The 24,411-nt window shown below is 43.7% G+C and overlaps 2 long non-coding RNA genes across 14 annotated transcripts in view, besides 1 other annotated feature; one reads left to right on the forward strand and one right to left on the reverse strand.

Annotated features, from left to right (window-relative positions):
• The window catches only part of LINC02751 (long intergenic non-protein coding RNA 2751), a 152,600-nt gene extending 142,284 nt beyond the window's left edge, over positions 1 to 10,316 (forward strand). For all 5 annotated transcript variants that reach the window (NR_169502.1, NR_169503.1, NR_169508.1 and 2 more), the window contains 2 exons: positions 9,277 to 9,402; positions 10,119 to 10,316. This is a non-coding gene — a long non-coding RNA (long intergenic non-protein coding RNA 2751). The remainder of the gene's footprint in view (positions 1 to 9,276; positions 9,403 to 10,118) is intronic.
• Positions 6,192 to 24,411, reverse strand: part of LOC105376567 (uncharacterized) — a 67,229-nt gene continuing 49,009 nt past the window's right edge. For 2 of the 9 annotated variants that reach the window (XR_002957238.2, XR_931064.3), the window contains 6 exons: positions 21,065 to 21,222; positions 19,280 to 19,322; positions 9,488 to 9,564; positions 8,695 to 8,753; positions 7,226 to 7,286; positions 6,192 to 7,127 (listed from right to left, as the gene is read on the reverse strand). This is a non-coding gene — a long non-coding RNA (uncharacterized LOC105376567). Of the gene's footprint in view, positions 7,128 to 7,225; positions 7,287 to 8,694; positions 8,754 to 9,487; positions 9,565 to 11,910; positions 13,274 to 14,225; positions 14,382 to 15,905; positions 15,965 to 19,279; positions 19,323 to 21,064; positions 21,223 to 21,529; positions 21,610 to 24,411 lie in introns of those variants that run through there. The other 7 variants (XR_001748141.2, XR_931071.3, XR_931065.3 and 4 more) reach the window with 6 other exon arrangements.
• Positions 16,269 to 17,083: an enhancer, noted in NCBI's record as "OCT4-NANOG hESC enhancer chr11:15732871-15733685 (GRCh37/hg19 assembly coordinates)". NCBI's record gives its function as "activates a minimal SCP1, AML or CMV promoter by ChIP-STARR-seq in naive and primed H9 embryonic stem cells {active_cell/tissue: H9 hESC(naive and primed)}" and the evidence as "EXISTENCE:reporter gene assay evidence [ECO:0000049][PMID:30033119]".

Below are 24,411 nucleotides of genomic sequence, written 5' to 3' on the forward strand. Positions count from 1 at the left end.
CTGAGATACAAAGAGGCAAGATAATGAGTGCAAAGTCACTCAGTTGTAGAGAGTTGAAGAAATTGATAGAGCCATTTCACTAAGTCTACTTGAAAGCACCATTAAGCTGCTGAAAAGTCAGCTGGGGTGATTGGGTACTCTCTGGGCTCTCATCTCTGGAACTCTCTCACGACAGGCATTGTTCCTGCCAGCAAGATCATACAGATATGCTTGTTTACTGAGTGCCTTTTATGAGCCCAGACCCTTGTCACACATTGTGTCATTTCACCCTTACAATGCCCTGCCAAGAAGGTATGGCTAACATTATCTCCATTTGATAGATTAAGAACCTGAGAGTCAGACAGTATTATTAACTGAAGTTCACACAATTGTTCTCAAAGGGCTCATAGTCTAGACAGGGGATAAACACATTCTTTAAAATAAGTAGATACAATACAGCATGGTCAGCTGATCATTAAGAGCTGTGAGAGCACCCAGGAGGGAACAGTGGTCTCAGCATGGCCATAGCAGGAGAAGGAGGGAGGATATAGAAGAAGAATCTGGAAAGGTGTCCTGAGGTGGCATTTTTGCTGAGTTTCTAGGGAGAGGAAGCATATTCTAGGGGAGGAAGTGGGAGAACGGCATTCCAAGGAGTCCAGGGAACAACTGTCCGGTGAGCTAGTGGTGGGTAAAGGTTGGCATATTTGAGAAGGATGAGTTTTCAGGCATAACAAGAGCACTGGATGCAATGAGGAGATGTAACTGTGGAGAGTAAAGCTGGGGTAAGATCCTGGAGGACCCTACAAGTGCCGCCAAGGAGTTTGGATGGTATCCTGGAAATTACGGGAAACTTTTCAAGTCCTGGAGGAATGTGAGAAGATTTCCATAGGCATCATCCAGAGTGGAAGTGGGGATGCAAATGGAGAAGAAGGAAAAACAGAAGAAACATTTAAGGGGTCAAATAAAAATGTCCTGGGGCTTTTGGTGTCCCAAGACATCAAAATGGCTTGGGATGGGTATGTAATGACTATGAGCAAGGACTTCAACAATGACCCTCCAGTTTCCATATCTGGAGATTGGATGGATGGACGGTGGCATTCATTGAATTAAGAAGGAACAGCATGAGGGAGAGTGATATTGAAATGGCATGTATCAGCTGAACTTGAGGAGCCATGAGATTCCAAGGGGAAGCTGTCCAGGAGGTCAGCGGACCTGAGAAGTGGGAGAGATAGATTGAGTTAATCTGCTCAGCAGATGATTATGGAGTGTTTATCAGGTGCCAAGCACTGTGCTTAATGCTGTTGATTGAGTCGGATGGTTCAGGATCCCACTCTGGAAGCTCATAGTCTATAAGGAAAGTGGACCAGCAAGTGTCCTGCCATGTCACAGAAGCCAAGGCATGTCCTGAGTCTAAGACAGAAGCATAAAAGAAGTGATGCCTAACTCTACTGTTCAGGGAATAGTTTTTTAAAAAAAGGCTTTATGCTTTATATGGGAAGGACCTGAGATCTGAGTCTTGAAGGAACAGAAGGAGTTCACAGCCAGACAATGGAGGAAAGGGCATTCTAGGTAGAGGGCACAAGCACATAAAGGTACATGGAGCCTGCATTCTCAGTATGCTTGGCAGTGGATGTGGGAAGTAGGAACAGGAAGGGTTATGAGTTACAATGCTGAGGAGATCAGCAAAGGACAGATGGCAGAGAGTCTCAAATGCTATGTTAAGTGGTTTGGAATATTCTCTGGAAAGTGGAATCCACTAGAGGAATTTAAGCACGAAAGTTACATGATTGAATTTGGAATTTGGGAGTCAGAGAATAGCAGTCAAAATTATAGGAGTAGATCTGATCTTTCAGAAAAATAAGTAAATAAATTGAAGATTGAAGGTTTATTCCAGAGATAGTCAAAGAACTTCATACCCTCTGGCCCAGGCTGGCCTTGTTTCAAGTCATTATCATTATTAAAAACTAACTTCTATGAAGCACTTATTCGGTGCCAGACACTATTCTAAGCACTTTATATATATTTGCTCATTTACTCCTCATAATAACCCCATGAGATAAGTTAACTGGAAAATGATGGGGCCAGGACCTGGAGCTGGGATTTGAACCCAAGTCATAGGGCTTCAGAACGGATAAGACTTCTCCACTCAAACATGCAGGCCCCTGCAATAATAATATATAACATTTGTGAAGTCTTAATAGGTATCAGGTGCCTTATTTGCACTATCTAATTTGGTCTTCATAACAACCTCATAACAGATGAGAAAATGGAGACACAGAGGGACACATGCAAGTTATTTAACTCGCCCAAGTTGGAACAACTAATAAGTGGCCAAATTTAATCCAAGCATTCTGACTCGAAAGACTGTGCATGTAATAACTTTGCTCTGCTGACTCTGTAAGTTTTCCATAAATACTAGCTGAATTGATAGATGGGTGGTTGCAAGAACAATGTTTCTAAGAATTGGCTTCTGCAGCCCTGAGATCCAAGCATCACCAGGCCAAACACCCAGATGGTGATTTTCCACCAAAGCTGAGGAGCAGAGTGTAGTGCGGCTGGCTCCTACTCCAACTAGCCTGCTTCTGTAGCCTGAACCTTGCAGGGCAGGTGGGCATCAAAGGCTGCGGGGACTGGGTGGGACCAGCCTACAGCCCCTTCATTGGTCTGGCCCCATCAAAGCCACCTGTGCCAGACTCTGCTCCATTCCAAGCCTGGGCAGATCAAAGGGCCCCGCACAGAAGTTGGGTTTCTGGGCAGCTCCGGTTCTGATAATCGATTGTCACTTTGGCAGTGACAGCAGAGTCCAACATGACAAGACTGCCACAGCTAAGGCTCCTGGGGCAGACATCAGAGCACAGCTCCAAAGGCCGGGAAGCTGTCTGAGGCCCCTCTGGGCCTGCACCCCTGGTGGGAAGAGAGAGAGGAACTAGAGAGGCCCCTAAGGAAAATGTTTGGAGCAAGATCACTAGAGTAAAGTTGATGCAGGCAAGAAACCTGACCTTGGCATTTATATTCTTGCCATGGAACCATGAGATCTGATTACTTCATGTGGCTGGGAACAACTGTTGACCTGCCCACATGTGTTTATTCTCATGCACACACATGCACAAACCTAAATATATACACACACTTGAATCACTTGCCCAGACATACATACATTATAAACATAGCCCTACACATGAAGATTCTCACACAAACACAAACAAAAATATTCATATACACATTCTCCTAATACCCATCACACTTGCCTACATATATGTGTGCATATATACACATAGCACTATACATACTTACAGATGCAAATATGTAGCCACACACATATACATGCCTGCTCATTCATGGGGCATACATTTTATAATATATTCTTCCAGTTGCCAGTCTCTATCTCTAACATTTTTCTCTCAAAACGATGAGAATCATCCTCATAAACAGGCTTTAAGTGCAGGAATAGCCTATGGTATAGATCCGGCTGCCAGCCATTCTCCAACTCCTCTGCAGAAAAATCTAGAGGAAATGTCCCAAATTGTACCAAACAGGATTTATGTTAGCTCTTGGAAGGGATTTCCTGCCAATAAGAGCTAATAAAAATATCAGCATGTTAGAATTCTGTTTATTGAGGAATATTTGGTTGCCAGAAATTTGAACAATTGGAATATCAATTTTGCCTCAGTTGTATGCTCTGAATCAATAGATTTTAAAAATATATATTCTGAATCAATAGATTTTTTTAAAAAATATAATGGCATAGCTATAAATCAGACGGATTTATTATAATTTGGGGAGCTGAAAATGCTTTAGTTTAAAAGGCAATTAACATCAGAGTTCAGTTTCATTGAAGATTTAACAAATGAGCATAATTAGGGCATTTGAGTTAGGATAGTGTTTAAGCACCTTCTTGCTCATAATAAAATCACATAACTGAGAAAAGTAGCATGGGGTGCTTTGAAACCAGCCTAGGTATCGTCTCCTCCAGGAAGTCCTCCCTGACTCTTCCCTGCCTAGACTGGAGTGGGCATTTGCAGTTGACAGTGTGTGTGCTGTGCCACCCAGGCACCCTTCAGGACACAGGCTCTCAACCCCTGGGCGCTAGTATTGGGTGCTAATAAGTCACAGGAGAATCTCTCTCCAGGACTTGCTCCCAGCAAAAAGAAGCCAACTCACCCATGGTTATGCCCCATCCCCGGGGCAGTGTGCCACTATAATGACTGGTTGATGTGGAGCTACAAAGGTCTGGACCTTTTGCTTAAATGAGACAATAAGAAAGGGTTGTCCCAGTTCCCAAGCTTCCTGTGGGATCAGCTAAGCCTCTGTTGTGACCGCATCACAGCACAACTTCTCCCTCTCCAGGCTGCATTCACTCCTTCAAAGGTGTTGTTTCTGAGAATGCACCCCAATAAACCTCCTGCACCCAAATCTTAAAAGACTTAGAAACCATCTCCCAGCAAACTTGACCAATGGCAGTGTCTTTTCTCAGTGCACCCACGTTTTTGTGTATTCCTCTCCTTTTCTCACAGCCAATACCCAAATGTCAGCAAATATATTAAAGAAATATCCCTAATCTCATCTCTCATTGCCTCCTTGGCTACGGCTCCAGTACCAGGTGTCCCCTGGCCCATTTGCAATAATCTCCAAACTGACGGCTCTACTTCTGCTCTTGACCTTCACAGTCTATTCACAGCAAGTTATGGGGTAACCCTGTCAAAACATCATTTAGTCAAGTCAATTCTTTGCACAGAATCTTTTCGTGGCTTCCTATCTTTTTTAAAAAACATCCAAAGTCTTTACCATGCCTGCTGGACCTCCATCCTCCATGACCTGGCCCTCTTCTCCCTCTATGCCTTCATCTGCTCCTTCTTCCTCCTTCATTCATTCCCCTCCAGTCCCTTTCCTGCTGTTCCTTTCCTGCTGTTCCTTCAACACACAAGGCCCACTCCTCCCTCAGGGATCTTTGCACTTGATGTTCCCCCTCCCTGGACTCCTGGGACTTATTCCTTTAGTGCATTTAATTCTCTCCCAAATGCCACCTTATCTGAGAGGTCTTCTTTAGCTTATCTAAAATGCCACAGTTCCACACCTGCTGCACTCTGTCCCCTTTCCTTCCGGACATTTCTTCATAGGACTTATCACCACCTAACATATTATATACTCATTTATTATCTGTGTTTCCCAAAACTGAGAGCATGGACTTTGACCTACTTGTTGCTATGTTCCCAGTACCAGACATCGAGTAAGATCTTAATAAATATTTGTTGAATAAATTAATTGGTTTATAATGTTCTTTTGTGTGTCTGTCTCCTTCACTAGACTGTGAGCAACTGGGCTCAGTACCGGATCTTGTTTCTTTCAGCATAGTAAGTACCAAGCCCAGAGCCTGGAACATGCTAGGTGAGGCAAGCAATAATATTTGAGATGAATGTACGAACAAATGGATGAGACCAATGTTGCAGCAAGCAACATTAGTCCTCTTTGGATCTCACTGTTCTATGTTAAATAAAAATGATACTACCATATACCCTATCTACCTCAAGAGGTTTTTGTTAAAAGTTAATAATACACTATACCAACCTCAAAGGCACTTCTGAATAGCCAGGGGTTCCATATCCACGCAAAAGTTTCTGATTAGTCTTTGTGTACTGGCATCCACGGGAAATTGGTTCCAGGCCCCCCTGCGGTTACTGAAATTTGTTCATGCTCAAGTTGCTTATATAAAATGGTATAGTATTTGCATATAAGTCCCACACATACTCTCATATACTTTAAATCATCTCTAGATTACTTATAATACCTAATACAATGTAAATGCTATGTAAATAGTTGTTGTATTGTTTTCTTATGTATATTATTATTTATTGTTATATTATTATTTTTTCAAATGTTTTTGATCCAAGGTTGATTGTGGAACCTACAGATGTGGAAAGCTAACTTATAGGGCCTGAAGGAAGATAAATCAGAGCTTCCAGATCCCATGAGGACTCTATGATGGAAGATTTAGCCAACATCTCCAGGCTGCTTTGAACCATAGACATTAGGCCTTTAAGATATTATCTTTATAAAGCAAGGGTTTTGTATGCTTGCTGCCTAATAATTTCAGATCTTCTCTTCAATCAGCCTATGAATGTTTTCACTGTAAGAGATAATATACCAATGACAGTAAAAACAAGTAATAAAATGGGAAGAAAAAGCTGTCTAATAAATTATAGAACCAAAGCAGATTTCAGAAACTAGCATTTATCAGTCAAGTACTATAGACAGGGAGCTGACATAGAAATCCAGGTTTGGAACAATTCAACAGTGCTCTGAAACAGGGATAGTGGTGGTGGTACAAATCATGCCTTGTACAAAGCAGAGTCCCTTGAGCTCTCTGCCATTTAGGCCAGTGCTCCAAAGATCTCCTACATTGTGGCATGTTGGCTTGTTCCTAAGAAGACTGCTTTATGGGATTTCATACATACATGCACATACTCAACACAACCAAATAAAGTTTTATAAGCAAGAAAGAAACCCCTCCTCCCAATTTCTGCCTTTCACTTTACTAGTCCTGGTTGATGGAATCTGTAGTTAGTTACTGAATCCAGTTCTATGTGTCACTGTTGCAGCCTGGGATCATCATCAAAGGTATGAAGGCTGACATGATCCTTATCTCACTGTCAATGATTTAAGATAAACATGGCTCCCATGAATGGATTGCAGTTGTTACCCTGCATCTCAGTCTTCTCCCCATCTTGGGGACTGTGATGTGCCTGACATTCACTGCCTTGGCCTCTGTGGCAAGCCCCCCTGGCACTTGTTCTTCTGAGACTCCAGTGGAGGTCAAAATGTGGGGATCTAGATTCCCCTAAGCAGAACCAATCACTTTACTATGTCCACCATTTTAACATTTGGGTCTTTTCCATAACAGCTTCTTTGCTATGCTTAGAGCTGCTTTTTCCTCTTCCGGGCTCTCATGAGTCCCAACTGAGCAGCACTCCTACTGCAGGATTGATCATGCAAGGGCTTGGATGTGAGCTGATCCGTTTCACTTCCCTACTCCTTTGTTGGCGTCCTCTAGCATCCTAGCCTTGAAATGGACTCTGGGTTGAGTCATCTTGATTTCCATGAAATTCCCCAGCAGGCTTTAGTGTCTATTCATTTCAGAAAAAGTCAGGAGCCTAAGTAAATAACAAAAAGAGGCCAGATATCAGGTAAGTCCACAATAATTTGGTACCCTTGATTCGGTTCTATATGACATGGACCAGCCATAGCTTACCCTGGCAGATGGTGGCTGGTTCTAGGCAAGGTGATAAAATTCATGCGAAGCTAAACAATACCTGAAAGAGACACAGAAAACATCTCTCTTCCTTATCCTCCAGATTTTACCAGTTGCCAAAACATTTGGATTCTGATCCTTGAAGCTCTCTCTAATCTACTCCCTCATTGCCTCCCCTACTGCCACTGTCATGATCCAGACCTTCAGATAGCCTGCATGTAAAACAGAATAGTAATTTGAAATATTAATCCCAGTGCTTTTGTTCCCATTATTATTTCTACACATCCATGGTCTTTCCTCCATTAAAACTAGAACATAAAGCCTGAGCATCCATTGCATCAGAGAAAGGTAGCTATAACGGAAATACAAAGAGAAACAAGCAAATTAATTATTGATTCAACAGCCAAAATCCTAGCCTGAAGAGTAGACTAGAAAGGATACTTACAGAAAGCATAAAGTTTAAAGATCTGGTAGAATTGGCAGATAGTCAGAAGATTAATCAAGTGAACACCTGTCTGGACCCCTGAGAGGGGTCTCTGTGCCCTGCATGCCTGGTCTGAGCCCAAGAGTGGGAAGCAGGGGATAGTTCTCCCCTTCATTTCAAGGAGCTGAGGACAAAGAGAGCCTGTGCTCCCCTTCCCATTTTCTGCCTGGAAAGATGGAAACCTCCAGAATTTTCCCGTTAGCTACCAGGGAACAGAACAGGAAGGTTAGGTGTAGTTGCTTCAGACATCTAGGCTTAGGACGTAATTCAGCCCTTTTGCATTCCCCACAAAGCATAGGCTGGGGAAATAGTAGAGTCTGGACCTCCCTATCTAGAAAATGAAAAGGCCACATGATGATCTTAGTGAAAAAGTGACCCGGAAGGCCCTGGATGTCAAAGTGTGAATAGATGATAGCCCTTGCCAGCCTCCAACTCTAACTCTCATTCCATGACTTGATGCTATACAATCCATTCCTCCTGTAGAACTTAGCTGCTACCATGGGGAGAAGGAAGAGATGGAGAAATCCCTGAACTAAGATTAAATATCTGCCAACAATGGACTTGGGTTCAAGTTTACAGAAAATTCGCTTCTTTTCTGCACACCTGATCTTATGGGTTAGGAAACTATACCAGCTACCTGAAACTATTGCAATACAGTCCTAACTGGTTCCTCAGACACTACTTCTAGCTCCTCCAGTCTACCCCCAGCAACCAGAGGGAACTTTTGAAAACATGGATATAACCACACCTTTACGGGTGAGAAGCCAGATTTTCAAGCAGGGAGATGTGTTCACATCCCGGCTCTGCCATATGTCAACTGTGTGACCTCAGGCAAGTTATCCAACCTTTGTGAGCCTCATTTCTCTCATTCCATTATGAAATAGAAGAATCCCAAGGCTGCTTCATTGAATGCCATTGGGATTCCATGAGATGATGGAGGTCCTGGCACAGCTTAGAAATTCAGTTAATATTGGCTGGTCCTTACTGTATCATGTTGTTAATCACCTCCTTAGCTTTGTGCACGTGCTCCTCCTTTCCTTCCTCCTAAAAGAAAACCAGAAACCATCTCCTCTATCAATTTATTCCTTGAGGCATAAACTGGGCTGCCTTCCTATGTGCCCCACAGGGTAGGTTTAGGGATTTCTTAGTGAGTGGTATACCTTCAGTCTTCCAAGCCCAGCTTAATCATAGTATTCATCACATATCATCTGGTGACTTCCCCATGTTCTTCAAAGGCCAGAAATAATTCTTGATCTCTGGGCCCCCTTATAACCTTGACCACCCCTTACCCTGGAGAGTGCCCAAGGGACAAAAGAAAGCTCTTCTTAAAGGCCATGGGTAAGGGAGGGGTCAGGGGTCAGGTTGAGGAAGAAGTGAGCTTGCAGTCTTGCCCTCCTATGAGAGTCCTCCAGCCTGAGCCATGGGCCTAAGGCAGACTGGATCCCAGCAGGCTGGGACACAGGGTTTCCAGGTCAACTTTTATCTTCCCACATGGTATTTGTTCCTTTGATCCTTGAGCAGTTCAAACAAAGCTCACTAATCAATGGCTTCCCTCCCTGCCTTTCAGAGCAGATCCTCAAACACAGCCTGCATCTCTCCCTGCTCCCCTCCCACCCTCCAGTTTTCCAGCCAGAGGCATTTGCTCTAAGGCCCAGGCTGTGGCCCACCTATCACCGCTACCCAAGTAGTACAGGTATGATTGTCTGTTTACTTTCTTTAATTCAAATCGCACTAGAGAAATTTCAGGACTCACTCACTGATAAATCATGGTTACTTACCTCTTGTCTAGGCCCTTGGGCAAGGGTGCATTGATGCATCTACTATGATTGCCTGGTTATCTTGGTCTTGGAAGCACCTAGTAATGAAAGAACCCAGAGAAAGATAAACAGAGCTGAGGGAGTCAAGGTTAATCTTTCTGAGCCTATTTCTTCCTTTATGTAACTGGGATATTGTTTCCTGCCCCAACTACTTCACAAGGCTGAAATGAGGATTAAGCAAGTTAATGGCTGTCAAGGTCCACCAGGAAGGATGGAGTTCTAGATACATATTGGGTTCCTCTAGTCCTTACATATTGCAAAAGACTTGGGTAAAGCTTCTGGAAGAGCTAGGCTGACCAATCTTCCTGACTTACCCAGGACTGAGGGATTCCTTGGGATGCTGGAATTTCTGTACTAAAACCAGGAAAATACAAGGCAAACCTGGTTGAGGTTGAGTTGGTCACTCTACACAGAGGTAGCACTTAACCAGTGTCTGTCCTGGGCTATAATGGTGTCCCTCCAAAACTCATGTTGAAGCCCCAGTACTTTAGAATGTGACTGTATTCGAAGATGGGGCAATGAAAGGAGGTGATTAAGTTAAAAGGAGGCCATCAGGGTGGGCTCTATTCCAATCTGACTGGTGTCCTTACAGGAAAAGGAAATTTGAAGAGGAAAAGAGGCACCAGGGATGAGGACACACCGAGAAAAGACCATGTGAAGACATGGCGAGAAGACAGCCAGCTGCAAGCCAAGGAGTGAGGCCTCAGAAGAAACCAACCCTGCCGACACCTTGACCTTGGACTTCTAGTCTCTAGAATTATGCGAAAATAAATTCCTGTTGTTTAAGCCACCCACTCTGTAGTATTTTGTTATGGCAGCCCCAAGCAAACTAATACAGTATCCTTGAAGAAAGAAGAATTATAAAACCTAACAGTTAAGGGGCAGTTAATTGACATATTAATAATTCATTTAGTCTTCTCTTCACAGAAACTCTCTATAGGAGTTATTACCATTTATCACCATTTTACAGAGGAGAAAACTGAGGCACAAGAGGTCAAGTAACCTGCTTCAAAGTCATAACTAGTAAGTGACAGAGGCAGTTTCTTCACTCTCAGTCCTCTAAAAAGCAAAGCCCAAGGTTAAAGTGCTGACATTTAGTAGAAGCAAAATCAGGGCCTTGAGAGTGAGGCCCAGGGGGTGGTGAGAATGAGTTGAAAAGGGAAATGAGGCAAGAAAATATGCAATGTGATGCACAGCAGCTGGCCACCACCTCCCCATGATCCTCCCTGAGACACAGCAGCTTGCTGGGTAGGTAAGCAGCAGCGCTTGGAATTCGTCTACATCATTTGCAAGGAGAAACCATCTCTAAGGGTAATGGAGAAGGGAAGGGGAGAGAAGGGAAGGAGTTGTTGACTTAAGTTTGCTTACAGCTGCCTCCATACATATTATAAGTTTGGCCTAAAAGTTTCTCCATACATAGTGAACCATAAACTAACTTTATATGTAAACAGACTGTAACCTACTCTTGTAACAAGTACCAGAGTCTCAGCCAACCGCAGGCAGCTGACTGTTCAAAGCAGGTTCAAATAAGGCAAAGGCCCAGCTGTAACCAATCCAGCTGTTTCTGTACCTCACTTCTGGTTTTGCTAGGTCACTTTCCTTTTTCTGTCCATAAATATTCGACCATGTGGAGTAGCTCTGAACCTATTCTGGTTCTGGGGGCTGGCCGATTCGCAAATCGTTCTTTGCCCAATTAAACTGTGTAAAGTTTAATTTGTCTAAAGTTTTTTCTTTTAACTGGGTATTTATGTATTTGGCTCCTTCTTTTTCCCTTTCCCTTTTCTCACTGGTCCGAGGGATCCCCACTATGGGAAGCTAACTCCCCTGTACTTCCATCATCCAAGGCCCATCCCTAACATTTGTGGCACCTAGAGCAGGGATACCAAGGAAGGCTGCTGCAGACTAAGCTGTGTTCCCCAGAAGTCATATGTTTATGCCTTAACCCCTAAAGTGATGGTATTTGGAAGCAGGGCTTTTGGGAGGTAATTAGGTCATGAGGATGCATCCCTCATGTTGGGATTAGCATCTTTATAAAAAGAGACTCCCCTCCTGCCCCCTGCCATGTGAGGACACTGCAAAAATGTGGCCACAGCAAGGACAGCTCTCACCAAAAACCAAATTAGTCAGCACCTTGATCTTGAACTTCACAGCCTCCAGAACCATGAGGAATAAATTTCTATTGTTTATAAATTACTCCGTCTGTGATATTTTGTTGTGGCAGCCAAAACTTACTAAAACATAGCCCAAGCTAACTACAGACTCAAACACCATACATCTAAATATTTAAATGTCACGCATCAAGAAAGCAAACTTGAAGAATAGAATGTTTTCACTCTTTCATATTATCAAATGCATCTTTATAATGACCTAAAAGTCCATATTACCTGGTGGTAACCTGGAGATGGGCACCCTGGGGTGTCCATGAGGGGCACTTCTCAAGACTTTGAACTTAGCCATCCCTCCTGCCTGCTGGATTGTGTCTTCACTCCTCAGAGCAGGGCCTTGTCTTTTTCTTAGGAGGATAATCATAAAAGTAATAAATAAATGCTCCATGTCTATCACATTAAAGAAAGAAAGGTGAACAAATACCAAAGAAAGCATTTTCATATAAGACACTCAGAAATATTATCAGCTTAAGCTGAAGAATAAGAAAACAGGCTCAGAGAAGGAAATGATAAGGTGGAGGTGACAGAGCTCAGGGTTTGACTCCAGAATCCAAGTGTATTTTAATTATGGCACATTGAGGCTATCCATAGTAGCACTAAATTATGTCCATTCAATTGGACAGGCATTTATTAAGAGTGTTTCTGTGCCAGGCATCGATTAGCTGCCAGGATACAGATGTGGACAAGATCCATCTCTGCTGGAGTTGCTCACAGGCCACAGGGGAGATGGGCAGGTGAAAGTAGCAGTTGAGCAGTGCCAGCAATAAAGGCACAGGGCATGTAGTGAGGACCCAGAGGATGGTCACCAGGAGATGATGACACTTGACTTTCAAGGCTGAGTGGGAAGCAACAAAGAACAGAAGAAAGAAGGCCCTAACAAGCAGGAGAAACAGAGTGTGAGCAGGTCAGGAGATGTGAGAGGCAGCATGATCCTGGAGCTGCTTGAATTCCCCTGAACTTGGAGCATGGGTGAAGGTTTAAGGGTGTGATTATTGGGCCTATGAAAGCCTGCTTAGATATGAGGGGAGCCCCTGTCGGATTTTGAGCCAGGAAATGACCAGATCAGAGCTGTGCTGTAAATCTGTATCATGCACCTTTCACTTTGTACTAAAATGACCTCTTCCCTTGTTTCTGTTCCCAGACCCTGTCTTGGAGCTCCTTAGGGAAACGTATTCACGTTATTGCCCCAGTGCCTTGCGTAGTGCCTGGTATTCATTTGCTAAATGAGTGAGTGAATAAATTAATGAATGAGTGAACAAACTCTGCTACCTAGTTGTATTCTGCTATTTTGGCTTCCTTCTTTTTTCCTGCGCTGTTCCTGATTTTAGTTGAGGATTAAACATGGGCTCTGCAAACAGGCCCTAAGGCTGTGAGTCTGTGTGTGTATGTTTTACATCAGCCAAACCAAATAAACAAACACATGGCAGAACCCCAGGCATGTGGCTCCCTCACTTGGCACAGCCAGCTGGCACGTGGCTGCCCCTCCCCAGCTTCCCAGCACCTCCCCCTGGAGTCAGGATGCTGCCTAGAGGCTTGGCTGTGGATTTGACAACCCCTCCTTACTTCCTCTGCAGCAGCAGCAGGACTTCAGGCACATGCTGATAGCCTCCATTTTAATTAGTGAGAATTTGAAATCACTTCTGTCTTCAAACTCTTCTGAGAAACAGGGCAATGACCACAGTACCAGGGAGAAGACAGGAAGATGACCCTACTCTCACCCTCCAACTGTGTTTCCTGCTCCACTATACTCATTCCAACTGGACTAACTGTCCATTCTTACTGACTGATCCAAGTAACCCCTAGAGTTTTCTTCTGGGGGTGCACTCTGGGAAACTCTAGGGGTTAGCTAGATCTCTAGGGGTTACCTGAATCAGTCAGTGCTCAGCTCTTTAAGCGTCCCAAATCAAAATCAGCGCTCTCAGTACTCATCTCTACCTCACCTGCTGAGGTCTTCCTGAAATTCCCCAAATCAATCAGTGACAGCCCCATTTCCAAGGGCACCAATCACAAAGGGAGCCTAATTCTAGACTCCTTCTCTTTCTTCACCCCAGCGATATTCACACGGCATTGACTAGTTCACTACCAAACTGCTTTAGCAATCTGCATCTACCCTTCCATCCTATCTGCTACTGTCCTATTTCATCTCATCTATCTAGACTTTTGCAAAACTGCTTCCTACTGGTCTCCTTGACTCCAGTATCTTCTTTCTCTAATGTCTTGTTCCTTCCAGCCACCATATTGATCTTTCTATACTATTGATTTCATCCGTCCACTCTCTTGGCAAAAAACAAAGAAAAAAACCATAAATGGTTACTATAGCAGGCATTGTGTGTTGTTCTTCAATCACCATTCTTCAGTGGTAATATAACTCCCACATTTTCGGTGGCTATTAACAACAAAAACTGTGTCTTCCAACCTCCTCTGAGCAAGGTGTGACCATGTGACTTAATCCTGTTACAATCAATGGGATTTACATAGAAATGGAGTGTGCAACTTTAACCAGTGTCCTTAAAGAGTCATAATGTGCTCTTTACCTTCTTTCTTCCTTTCTGCAGGATGGAATACAGATGTGATGGCTGGAGCTGGAGTAATCATCTTGGGCCATAAATGACCTTAGCAGTGGAGGTCATGCACAGCAAGGTAGAAACAAACCATGGAACACCATGCAAACCGTGGCTGTTTCTTTCAAACTTTCAATGAGAAAGAAAGAAACTTTGATTCTTATTAAGCCACTGCTATTTCAGGATTTTCTAACCCTCCAGCTGATCCTAATTTTAATTAATTATCACCTACAGCAGGGGCTAGAACACAAATGCCACCAGGAGCCAGATAGGCAACATAATTTAGTGATGCCTACAGAGAGCCAGAGTCTAGGAATGCATTTATTTATTCATTCATTTTTACTTATTTAGTCATTCATTTTTTCATTTAACAAGTATTTACAAAGCTGCATTATGTACCAGGCACTCTTAGGCATCAAGAAGGAAAAGATAAATGGGCTCAGTCCTTTCTTAGAGAAGATCTGGGTCTGGTTGGGGAAGACAACATTTTAAATAGATAAATATAGTAAAGTGCTATGAGACTGTAGTAGCTGATCTTACAAATAGCAACAGAAGCAAAAAAGAGAGTGAAGCCCCTTCTAAAATCTGAAAACAAAAATTTCATGAAAGAGGTAACCTGCTTCTCAGAAAATAGGTAAAGACGGAAATTCCGGATAAGCAAAGGTTAGGAGGATTTGATTCCCTGCTATTGCTATTGCAATTCCTTTCCCCTTCAGATAATTGCAAATAATTATTTAGAATAAAGCCCGAGTGGGCTTCTCCTCCATTCTCCCTCCCACCCAATACCTCCTGCCCTCCAGAAGACAATAGGGGGCTGGCATTATTGCAGCCTAAGGAGCAATAGGATTTGGTTGCCGTTAGTTCTCCAGCCTTTATTCTCACTGAGTTCTTTACTGGATCTGATAATACTGGGAAATCATAGCTGCTTCTGGACAGCACCACACCTAGCAGACCTGATGTTTGGGGACTGCAGGCATGTCTAAGAGTCTGACACATAGTAGGTGCTTAGTTGAATTTTGATGAAAAGAAGTCTTCCTGAGGGTTTTTGTCTCTCTGCTCCAATACCTCAAGTAAAAAGTCCTAGAATTTTGAGTGGTATTCAGAATATTTAACAATCCAGTATTGCACAGGACTGACTAATGAGGTCAGAAACGGGGTAAACCATTTAGTATGTGGACCCACCATACATGAGTCCTGCCTGGAGGAGGGTCTTGGAAATGACAGCATAAAAATGACTTACTTACCTGCGTTTTTTTATTACCATTAAAAGGGAAAGGTTCAAAGCAGGAATTACAAAACCACAAGGCACAGGTGGTGCCCTCTCACTATCTTTCACTTTGCACTCTTTGCTACTTAATCTTGGAATGCATCCCTACTCAAATTTTACTGGAGTCCAAGGGTGTCAGAGTTCCCAGGGGCCAGGCATGGGGTGAATTTGAGCCTGCAGCAGATCAAGTCACCATGGGCCTCCCTGGATTCCCAACAGGGCTCAGAGCCCAACTCCTGGCACAGTGGCCCTTTACATTCTTCAAAAGGAGCAGCAAATCCCTGCTGCAGACTCAGCATGAGTCTCTGTCCTCATTCCCTTTCCATCTTTTACAATGTCTTACACTCCTAACTGCCCTAAACATGTGTTCCACTAGGAACACTTACCTGGTGTATTTTCTCCTCTGAAGCACTTTCCTCAGGGGAAAACTCTCTTCAAATAATGTCTTAAGAGAATAGAAAACAACAAGACTGAGCGGCATTTGTCAGCCGATAAGGGCCTTAGAAATAACTCCTCCAGCTGTTCATTTCTAAAAGTGGAAAGCTGAGACCCAGAAAACTGGAGTGGTTTGCCTAAAAACACACAGAACACTTTCACAAAATTCTTCAGCAGTTTGAAGTGTGTGTACTTTCCAATCCTTTTCTCTGCCTATACCTTGTAAACATATTTTGAACAGATGGAACCGTTATCCACCACAGTTAACCCCAGGCACACACGTAGTCATCATGGTACAGGGACTATTTAGGGGCCAGGCCTTCTGGGAGCCTCTTTGGACCAAGTGTGTCAGGAGGCCTGAGTAGCTCTAGAAAGCCATGTGGAAGGGGATGCTGGAGAGTGGTCCTAAAAGCTGCAGAGAGCCCGGGTGATAGAAGGGGGCTGGGCTTTTCCTCCCCGGTTTGAAGCTTTGAACCTCTTGGGCCCAGTAGGTGGTCAGCAGGGTTGGGAGCATTAGCATTTGTTTTTTCACTTTGATCCTTTGTCTTTTAAGTGTTGTGGAAGATCTGGCTGGCAGGAGCCTGACTCCTCCAAGAAGAAGGAGGGGGACACCTTGATTGATCTGAAGAAGAAAATGAGCATGAAAATGTGTCTTCAATAATAGGAAGCCCAGTCTCTTCTTAAAGCCCATTAATTGACTCATTCTTGACCCCACGCAAGTCATGTCCTTGCTCCTCCTGCCTCTAAATTTTCTTCGTCTACAAAGTGGGAGGGTTGGTCCAGTCCAGTGATTTTTCAAACTTCGCCTTTTAGCATCAGAATCTCATCTTTTTTCTTAATTCATACGCAGATGCCCAGTACTCAAAGCAAAGCACAGCTGCTCTGACTGAAGCTGGAGACAGGGATCTCAGCCTATTTGGCCCCCATCCTGAGGGCAGCTGAACCCCCAGACTCCAAGGAAGCCCTGGCAACACAGTTTAAAAACCTGTGGACTAGATGATATTTAAGGGCCCATTTTGTTCGAGTTTGTAATTCTAGATTTGTCACACAGAAAATTGATCCATGTGTAGCTGTTTATTCCATGTATCTGTAGGAAGAGAGAAAATACGGAGCCTCCTATTCCACCATCTGGCTGATATTGTCTCCCTTTATAATTCTAAAGTTGCCAGGCAAGGTGGCTCATGCCAGAAACCCCAGTGCTTCGGGAGGCCAAGGTGGGAGGATCACTGAAGGCCAGGAGTTTGAGACCAGCCTGGGCAACATAGTGAGACTTTGTCTCTAAAAAAATTAAAATAAATTCTAAAGCTAAGCCCTAGGAATTAGGGAGGGCAGGGACTCTAGTTCAGCTATATAAATGAACTGATTAAAAGTCAGAAATGGAAAATGATTTACCCAAGATGTAGGGCAGACTCTGTTTAAATATTTTAAATCTTGTTTCCTGGCTGGGTGTGCTGGCTCACGCCTGTAATCCCAGGACTTTCGGAGGCCAAGGCTGGTGAATCACCTGAGGTCAGGAGTTTGAGACCAGCCTGGCCAACATGGTGAAACCCTGTCTCTACTAAAAATACAGAAACAATTATCTGGGCATGGTGGCACATGCCTGTAATCCCAGCTACTTGGGAGGCTGAGGCAGGAGAATTGCTTGAATCCGGGAGGCAGAGGTTGCAGTGAGCCGAGGTCATGCCACTGCACTCCAGCCTGGGCAACAGAGTGAGACTCCATCTCAAAAAAAAAAAATCTTGTCTCCTGTTGTGCCTTCATGTGGAGATCATGCACTCTAGCCAAATAAGAATACTTCAAGCTCCCCAAATGCGCCATTTTCTATTATTTCTCCATGCCCATGTAAATGCTCTTTCTTCTACCTGCCATTTAGTAATTTATATTCTCATCAGACTATTGAAAATGGACATTTATTTTTAAACTTGGCTCAAGGGCACCTCTTCTGTGAAGACTGTCCACAATTCTACACCCTTTTTTTTTCTGCCTGCATAATGCTGTAGAGATGCTTGCATCATCATCCATCACCCAGAGGGCCATAGTCAATTTTGGCTGCTACAATAAAATACCTTAAGCTGGGTAATTTATAAACAACAGAATTTTTTGCTCACAGTTCTGGATGCTGGGAAATCCAAGATCAAGGTGCCAGCCAATTCGGAGTCTGGTAAAGGCCTGTTCCTCATACCTAGTGCCTGCTATGTGCCTCACATGGTGGAAGGGGCAAACAAGGGACCCTGGGCCTCTTTTATAAGGGCACTAATCCCATGATGTGGTTCAGATATCAAATCTCAGATTGAAATATGGTCCCCAGTGTTGGAGGTGGAGTCTGGTGGGAGGTGTTTGGGTCATGGAGGCAAATCCCTCATGAAATGCGCCCTGCCTGTAGTAATGAGTTCTCACTTTAATAGTTCACGTGAGAGCAGGTTGGACACACTTGCTCCCCCTTGACCTTCCACCATGACTAAAAGCTTCCTGAGGTCTCACCAGAAGCAGATGCTAGTGCCGTGCTTTTACAGCGTGTAGAATTGCAAGCCAAATAAGCCCCATTTCTTTAGAAATTACTCAGTCTAATAGCCAATTTCTATTATATATATTATAGGAATTGGGTTAGATAGATAGGAAAAGTTTTCCCTTTCCTCCCCATTCAAGGTGAACTTGATAGAACTAGAAGATCTAAGAAGGAAAATTTTTTTTTAAATGGAGGGGCTTTTTTTTTTTTTTTTTTTTGCACCATCTTTTGTATTCCAGATGGCTTGGGAGTGATGCACACTCCTTTTTTTTTTTTTTAGACGGAGTCTCACTCTGTTGCCTAGGCTGGAGTGCAGTGGTGCAATCTCGGCTGCAACCTCGCCTCCTGGGTTCAAACAATTCTCCTGCCTCAGCCTCCCGAGTAGCTGGGACTACAGGCGCTCGCCACCACCCCCAGCTAATTTTTTGTATTTTTAGTAGAGACGGGGTTTCACCCTGTTAGCCAGGATGGTCTCCATTTCCTGATCTTGTGATCCGCCCGCCTCAGCCTCCCAAAGTGCTGGGATTACAGGTGTAAGCCACCACACCCGGCCCCAATGCATACTCTTTCTGGTAATGAATTGAAATCTCATACCATTCACTGGTCACAGCCTCACATAATTTCCATGACAGCCTTCAAAGCCACATCCCCACAATTTAGCACTACTCAGAGCACAAGAGGCCTTTGCTCAATGGCCTATTGATATCTGCCTGCTTTCTGCAGACCAAGATCTTGGGCCAGATGTGAGGGGCAGGTACAGGGATAGGGAAAAAGTTATATTCAGATATCAAAGGAGAGAACTGAAGAGTAGTTACTTACCCTAAGTCTCCTTGGGATGATGGTGCTTCCACCACTGAGATCTCTAACAGAGAGGAACGGAAAGAGGCATTGTCTACGGAAACCTGGTCAAGACGTTGGTAAATTTCCTCAAGCTTCTTTTCACTCTATGATAGGCCAGAGTTCAGGTCTTTAAAGAATGTTGAGTTTGCACTATTTGCCAAGCACCATGCTAGGCTCTGGGGCATCAAAAGTGAAAAACTACATGCCTATTCTCAAGGGTCTGCAGGCCCAGATATACTGCACAGGATCCCTGAGATCTAAGTGCTTCCTCACCAGAATTATCAATGGAATTCTGAACCAAAAGTGGCAGAGAGGGAATCAGTTTTTCTGGCTCCTTCATTCTTTTGTCCACATTCTTTGTTGTTCACTGATCTGGTCATGTTTTTATTTGAGAACTGAAACTATTTGCAGTGCATTCTCAGTCTTTCATCGGCAATTGCTCAGTTTTACTGACTTCATCAGCTGTGCTTACAATACTCAATTGTATTTACATTGCTTTAGCCTCTTCTGTCCTCGTTTGCCACTGAACCAGCACATAAAAATGCAACTCTAGTACAATGGAAACAGACTATGATTCTCTTCAATGATGTCTCTCATTAATAACTGTGGCCCAAAGGAAGAATCAATTAAATGAAATAATATATACAACATATTAAGACTGTGTCAGGCATGTAGGAGGCAGCCAATATGTGTTAGCCATTGTCATTAGAAATATATACATATCTTTCAAATCGACGGTTACCTGGAAGAAGTCCCATTATTCAAAGTCCTTCTTGGCTCTCAACATCAAGTGGCCTCTTGACTATTGCAGCTGGGGTTTGGGCCACCTGCTTCCGACTGCTGCTGGTTTCTCTGATTAGCATTTTCATTCCCACCTCAAGTGGGTCATGTCTGCTCTTCACTCATTACCCCACCCTTACCTTGAACTGTCAATGGAGGTAGAGAAATGTGCATTACCCATTAAATTTTAATCATACATTGAGGGCAATGTAAGGCCATTCCATTCAACAAATGTTACGAGCACTTGCTGTGTGCTGTAAGCTGTGCTCAGTGTTGAAGCTATAGAGATAAATGAATCACAATGCCTGTCTTTCAGACACTCCAATATGTAAACAAAGTGAAGAATATTGACTACATTCAGTTGTGAATAAAATGTTCCCTTGCATTATGGTGAGTGTTTCTGGACACTCCTGTTTAAATGGAACCATCTCAACTACAAAGAAGACCTAGCAACATCCCTGATTTTTTCCACAATCAAAACAAAACAGTATGGCATAGTATTTAAGGCAGATAAGAGAATTGTTAAACAACTATTTTAACTCACTCCCTCTATCACCTCCTATGGGAAAAGTGCTCTTTTGCCCCCATTCATCTTGGGCGTGGGGCATGATTCTGTACTGGTAGAAGAAACAGTGTCTAAGTTCTGAGCCTAGGATTTGAGTAACATTATACGTTTCCACTTACTCCTCTAAGAGCTTCAAACCTCCTCCATGAGAAGAACATTCCCCAGAAAACTGCTACTGGATAGCCTGGGCTCACAGTAAGATGTGTGGGACAGAGCTGAACTTGACTTCAGGCCTGAAACACCCATCCCAGCCCCTTGTGAATGCATGTGCTAGACATCAATGCTAGCTTTTTTTGTGTCCTGAAATCCTGTGGTTGTTTGCTACACAGAAAAAGCTGCCTAATTCTGTGTTCAAGATCCCTTGCACTTTGCCTACTATCTCTAGCCTCATCTCTTTTTAGCCATACCAAACAACTCACCTCTTCCCAAGCCCACTGTGTTCTTTCAAATTTCCATGATATTTCTTGTGGAGTTTCCTCCGTCTGGAATTGTCTTCTTCGTCTACTCAATGTTCAAAGCCAGAATAAAATTCACACATTTCACTTTTGTAATGATGCTTTTCTCTATCCATCCTTCTCTGAACCAAAACACAAAAAACAAAGAAAAAACTAATAACAGTTTGTTAATTCATTCAATGGGCATATGGTCAGGGGCATGCTCTACAGCATGTTTATGGGCTTCTTCCTCTACGTGAATCCCAAGCTCTTTATCCAAATCCATTATAAGCCCTTGTCACTTTGCACTGCAACTGGCTGTTTAGAAGGCCTGCTCCCACTAGCCATTGTCTCTTCTAGTGCGGAGGCTCTCTCTTTTATCTCTAGGTCTGGGTGTGAGGACACACACAAAGTAAATGTCAGTTGAATTCAATCTCCCTAAAAACTTACCAGTTGACAGGTAAAAATAGCCAGTTCTCTGGTAGAGAGAAAAAGAGGTCAGAAGGACCCACAGCTGGGGCTGATGTTGCTTCCACCTGCAGGCCTGGCCCTGCCCCAGTTCCAAACCAAATCTGACTAAGGCAGGAAGTCCTCAAGCATCTTCAGAATCCAGTCCAATGGGGCTTAATGTTGATTCTCTCTGTTTATTAGCCTCATCTGTGAGTCATTTCCCAGGCACTGAGTTCAGGATTCCACTGTTTTTCCCAAGTTGCCTCTCCATTGGTCTGGCGTGGGGGTGGTTTGTGTTAACCACCAAGCTTCTGTGCTGCCCTCCCGTCACCTCCAATTAGCTAGGGTACCTCTAGAGAACTCAGGTTTTCAGCCAAGACTTTTTACTAGGTGCTTTCTGGTGTAAGACTAGCCTGTTTGGTCCCAAGTTCAGGTAGCTTCTCTAGCCACCGATTTCCTCTAAGGGGCAAGAGGGACCTGCTTTGCTCCTGCCAACCCCTCTCCAGTTAGTGAGGTTCTGCTCCTGATGCTCAGCTGGTCTCTGGGAGTTGCTCTCTATACCAGCTACCTTGGACTTTGACAATTGAGTGTAAAATCTTCAATAGAGTTTGGTTACTGCAATTACCACTAAATATTCAGCTCTTTGAGAGTAGGGACTTTACTCCAATATATGGATGGGGCCTGTTTTCAATATGCCACTGAAAAAACACTGAATGAATAAATGAAACGATGAACACCCAGCCTCAGAGCTCCCCTTTCATAGGATAAGGGAACAATAGAGTGAAAACAGCCATTTGAAACAGTCTTAAATTTCATGTCTGTCTCCCTCATCTTCTTCTTGTCTTGCTGATCCTAGCAATTCCCATCTCAGCCTAAGCTCCTGCATCTCCATCACACTACCCCCAACTCCTAACCCCCAACCAGTTTCTCATCTTAACTATTTTGGCCACTCCCTTTTGGCATAAAGATGAATGTTCCTTGTGGAGTGAACATGTGTGAACCACCTGTGAGGTATGTTCCCATCTGCTGAGGTCTGGAACCATTGTCCTTAAGTCCTGCTCTCAATGGAAGCCCTAGAAAAATATGTCAACCATTTACACTCTGTCTCCAGGGCCAAATTTGAGTGTCAACTCTCAACCATAAGTAGAAAGGGCTGCACCATGGGCATTTTGCCTGTTTTGACAGGAGAACCTCTGCTTCTGCCTTTAGCCCCTGCATCTATTTCAGCTGCATCCCTTGCTCCACCCGAAACACACACCACACCATCATACTGAGGTGGTTGAGTCAAGGGAACCAACTGGAGGAGGCTTTGGCAGAACTCAGAACTTCCCCATTGCCCTCTAATGCCAAGGTGATCAGCCCAGCCTCACTGTTAAATTCCAATATGGGATAGAGAAAGGGAGACAGCCTAGGAATCTTGCTCCCTCCCCTGGACTGCCGGTTTCTGTTCTCACAGCCCCTGAAGCAAATGATTCTACTAGGAGCCCCCCATATAAGATCCCACCCCATCTAGAAAAGGGGAGAGAAGTCTAAGACCACACCCCAAGTCAAGCAAGAGCAAGTCCCCATCATGAGGAATGTAGACCTTTAGAACTGGGACCAGTGAGAGCTTCAGAGAGATACCAAGAAGCAGATGGCACAGGCAGCATTTATCCTTCACTCAAGAAACAGCTCTGAATTTTTCAGTGCAGATTCAATCAGCTGCTGAGGAGTCCCCAGCTCCAGGAGCTGCAGGGCTGGCAGTATGTCCCTAGGAAACAAAGTCGTGGAAGAAGAGTGCCTTTGGAACTCTTGTGAATCACCTAATCTCAGAATCATGAGGACTAAAAGGGCCAGAGAAAAATTGCAATCTAGCTAATCCCCTAAAACATCTCTGATAGGAGGTCTTTTTATTTTAGAACACCTCAGTCAACAGAGACCTCGCTACTTCCCAAAACCATACACAGTGTCACACATTGTGTTCTTTCTTAAATTGAGCTGAAGTCTGCTTGCATGTCAGATAAAGTGTTAGATGATCTCTCAACTCCTCCGTCTAAGCTCCCATGATGCCCCAGCTCTGGGGGGCCCAGAGCATCCCCCAGATAGTCTAATAATCCCCAGTTTACTACATTTTTCTAAAATGATCAGGATCTTATTTCTCTTTAAATGTCCCTTTGGGGCTAAGAAGAGTGTCTAATAAGAAGATAAAGTTGTGAGTTCAGAAGCCCATTTTAGGTCATTAAAATACTCTGATGTCTTCAAGGAATTTATTTACACCCCAGCCAAAGGGGAAACATCACCCCAGCTTAAGTTTGCCAGTTCCCCCCAATTCTGGGTCAGTGCAAAGGACAGACCCCACCCCACAATGCTCCCTTTTCCCCCTCCTCCACAACTTCACGTCTGCACACACTTCTCATCTCTAACACCCCTTTGCCACTGGGGCTGTCTTTTGTTACATGCAAATTTCACATAAAATCCTTCAAATGAAAACAGGTACTTTTCATTTTGCTCCCATAAACAGACACTTTCTAAATATTTAGACATCTGTATATAATGCCCTTAAACTGTTTGTTCTGAAGCATAAATAGGTATCTCCGTGTTTGAGTTAGTGTCTGATATGTTTCTCATTTAAGGAGAAAACATAAAAAATAATTGGAATAACTACAGCCAGGAACAATGCTTACACAGCATGTCAGTGTCTTTTATTGTGTCTTAAAGTAAAAGCTTCAGTTGTAAGAGTCTTTCTCCCCCATCAAACAGAAGCACAGCTCTTGTCTGCTAACCCTCCACAGGACTCAGCTGCCTCAGGGCAACGGGGGCCAGCAAGCAGCCCCCACTTTAGAGCCTGATGTGCTGTCTCATTGCATTTGCAGTGCCTTGAACAGTACACTGACTCCCCATTC

This window comes from Homo sapiens, chromosome 11 (assembly GCF_000001405.40).
Source record: "Homo sapiens chromosome 11, GRCh38.p14 Primary Assembly".
Classification (NCBI taxonomy): Eukaryota; Metazoa; Chordata; class Mammalia; order Primates; family Hominidae; genus Homo; species Homo sapiens.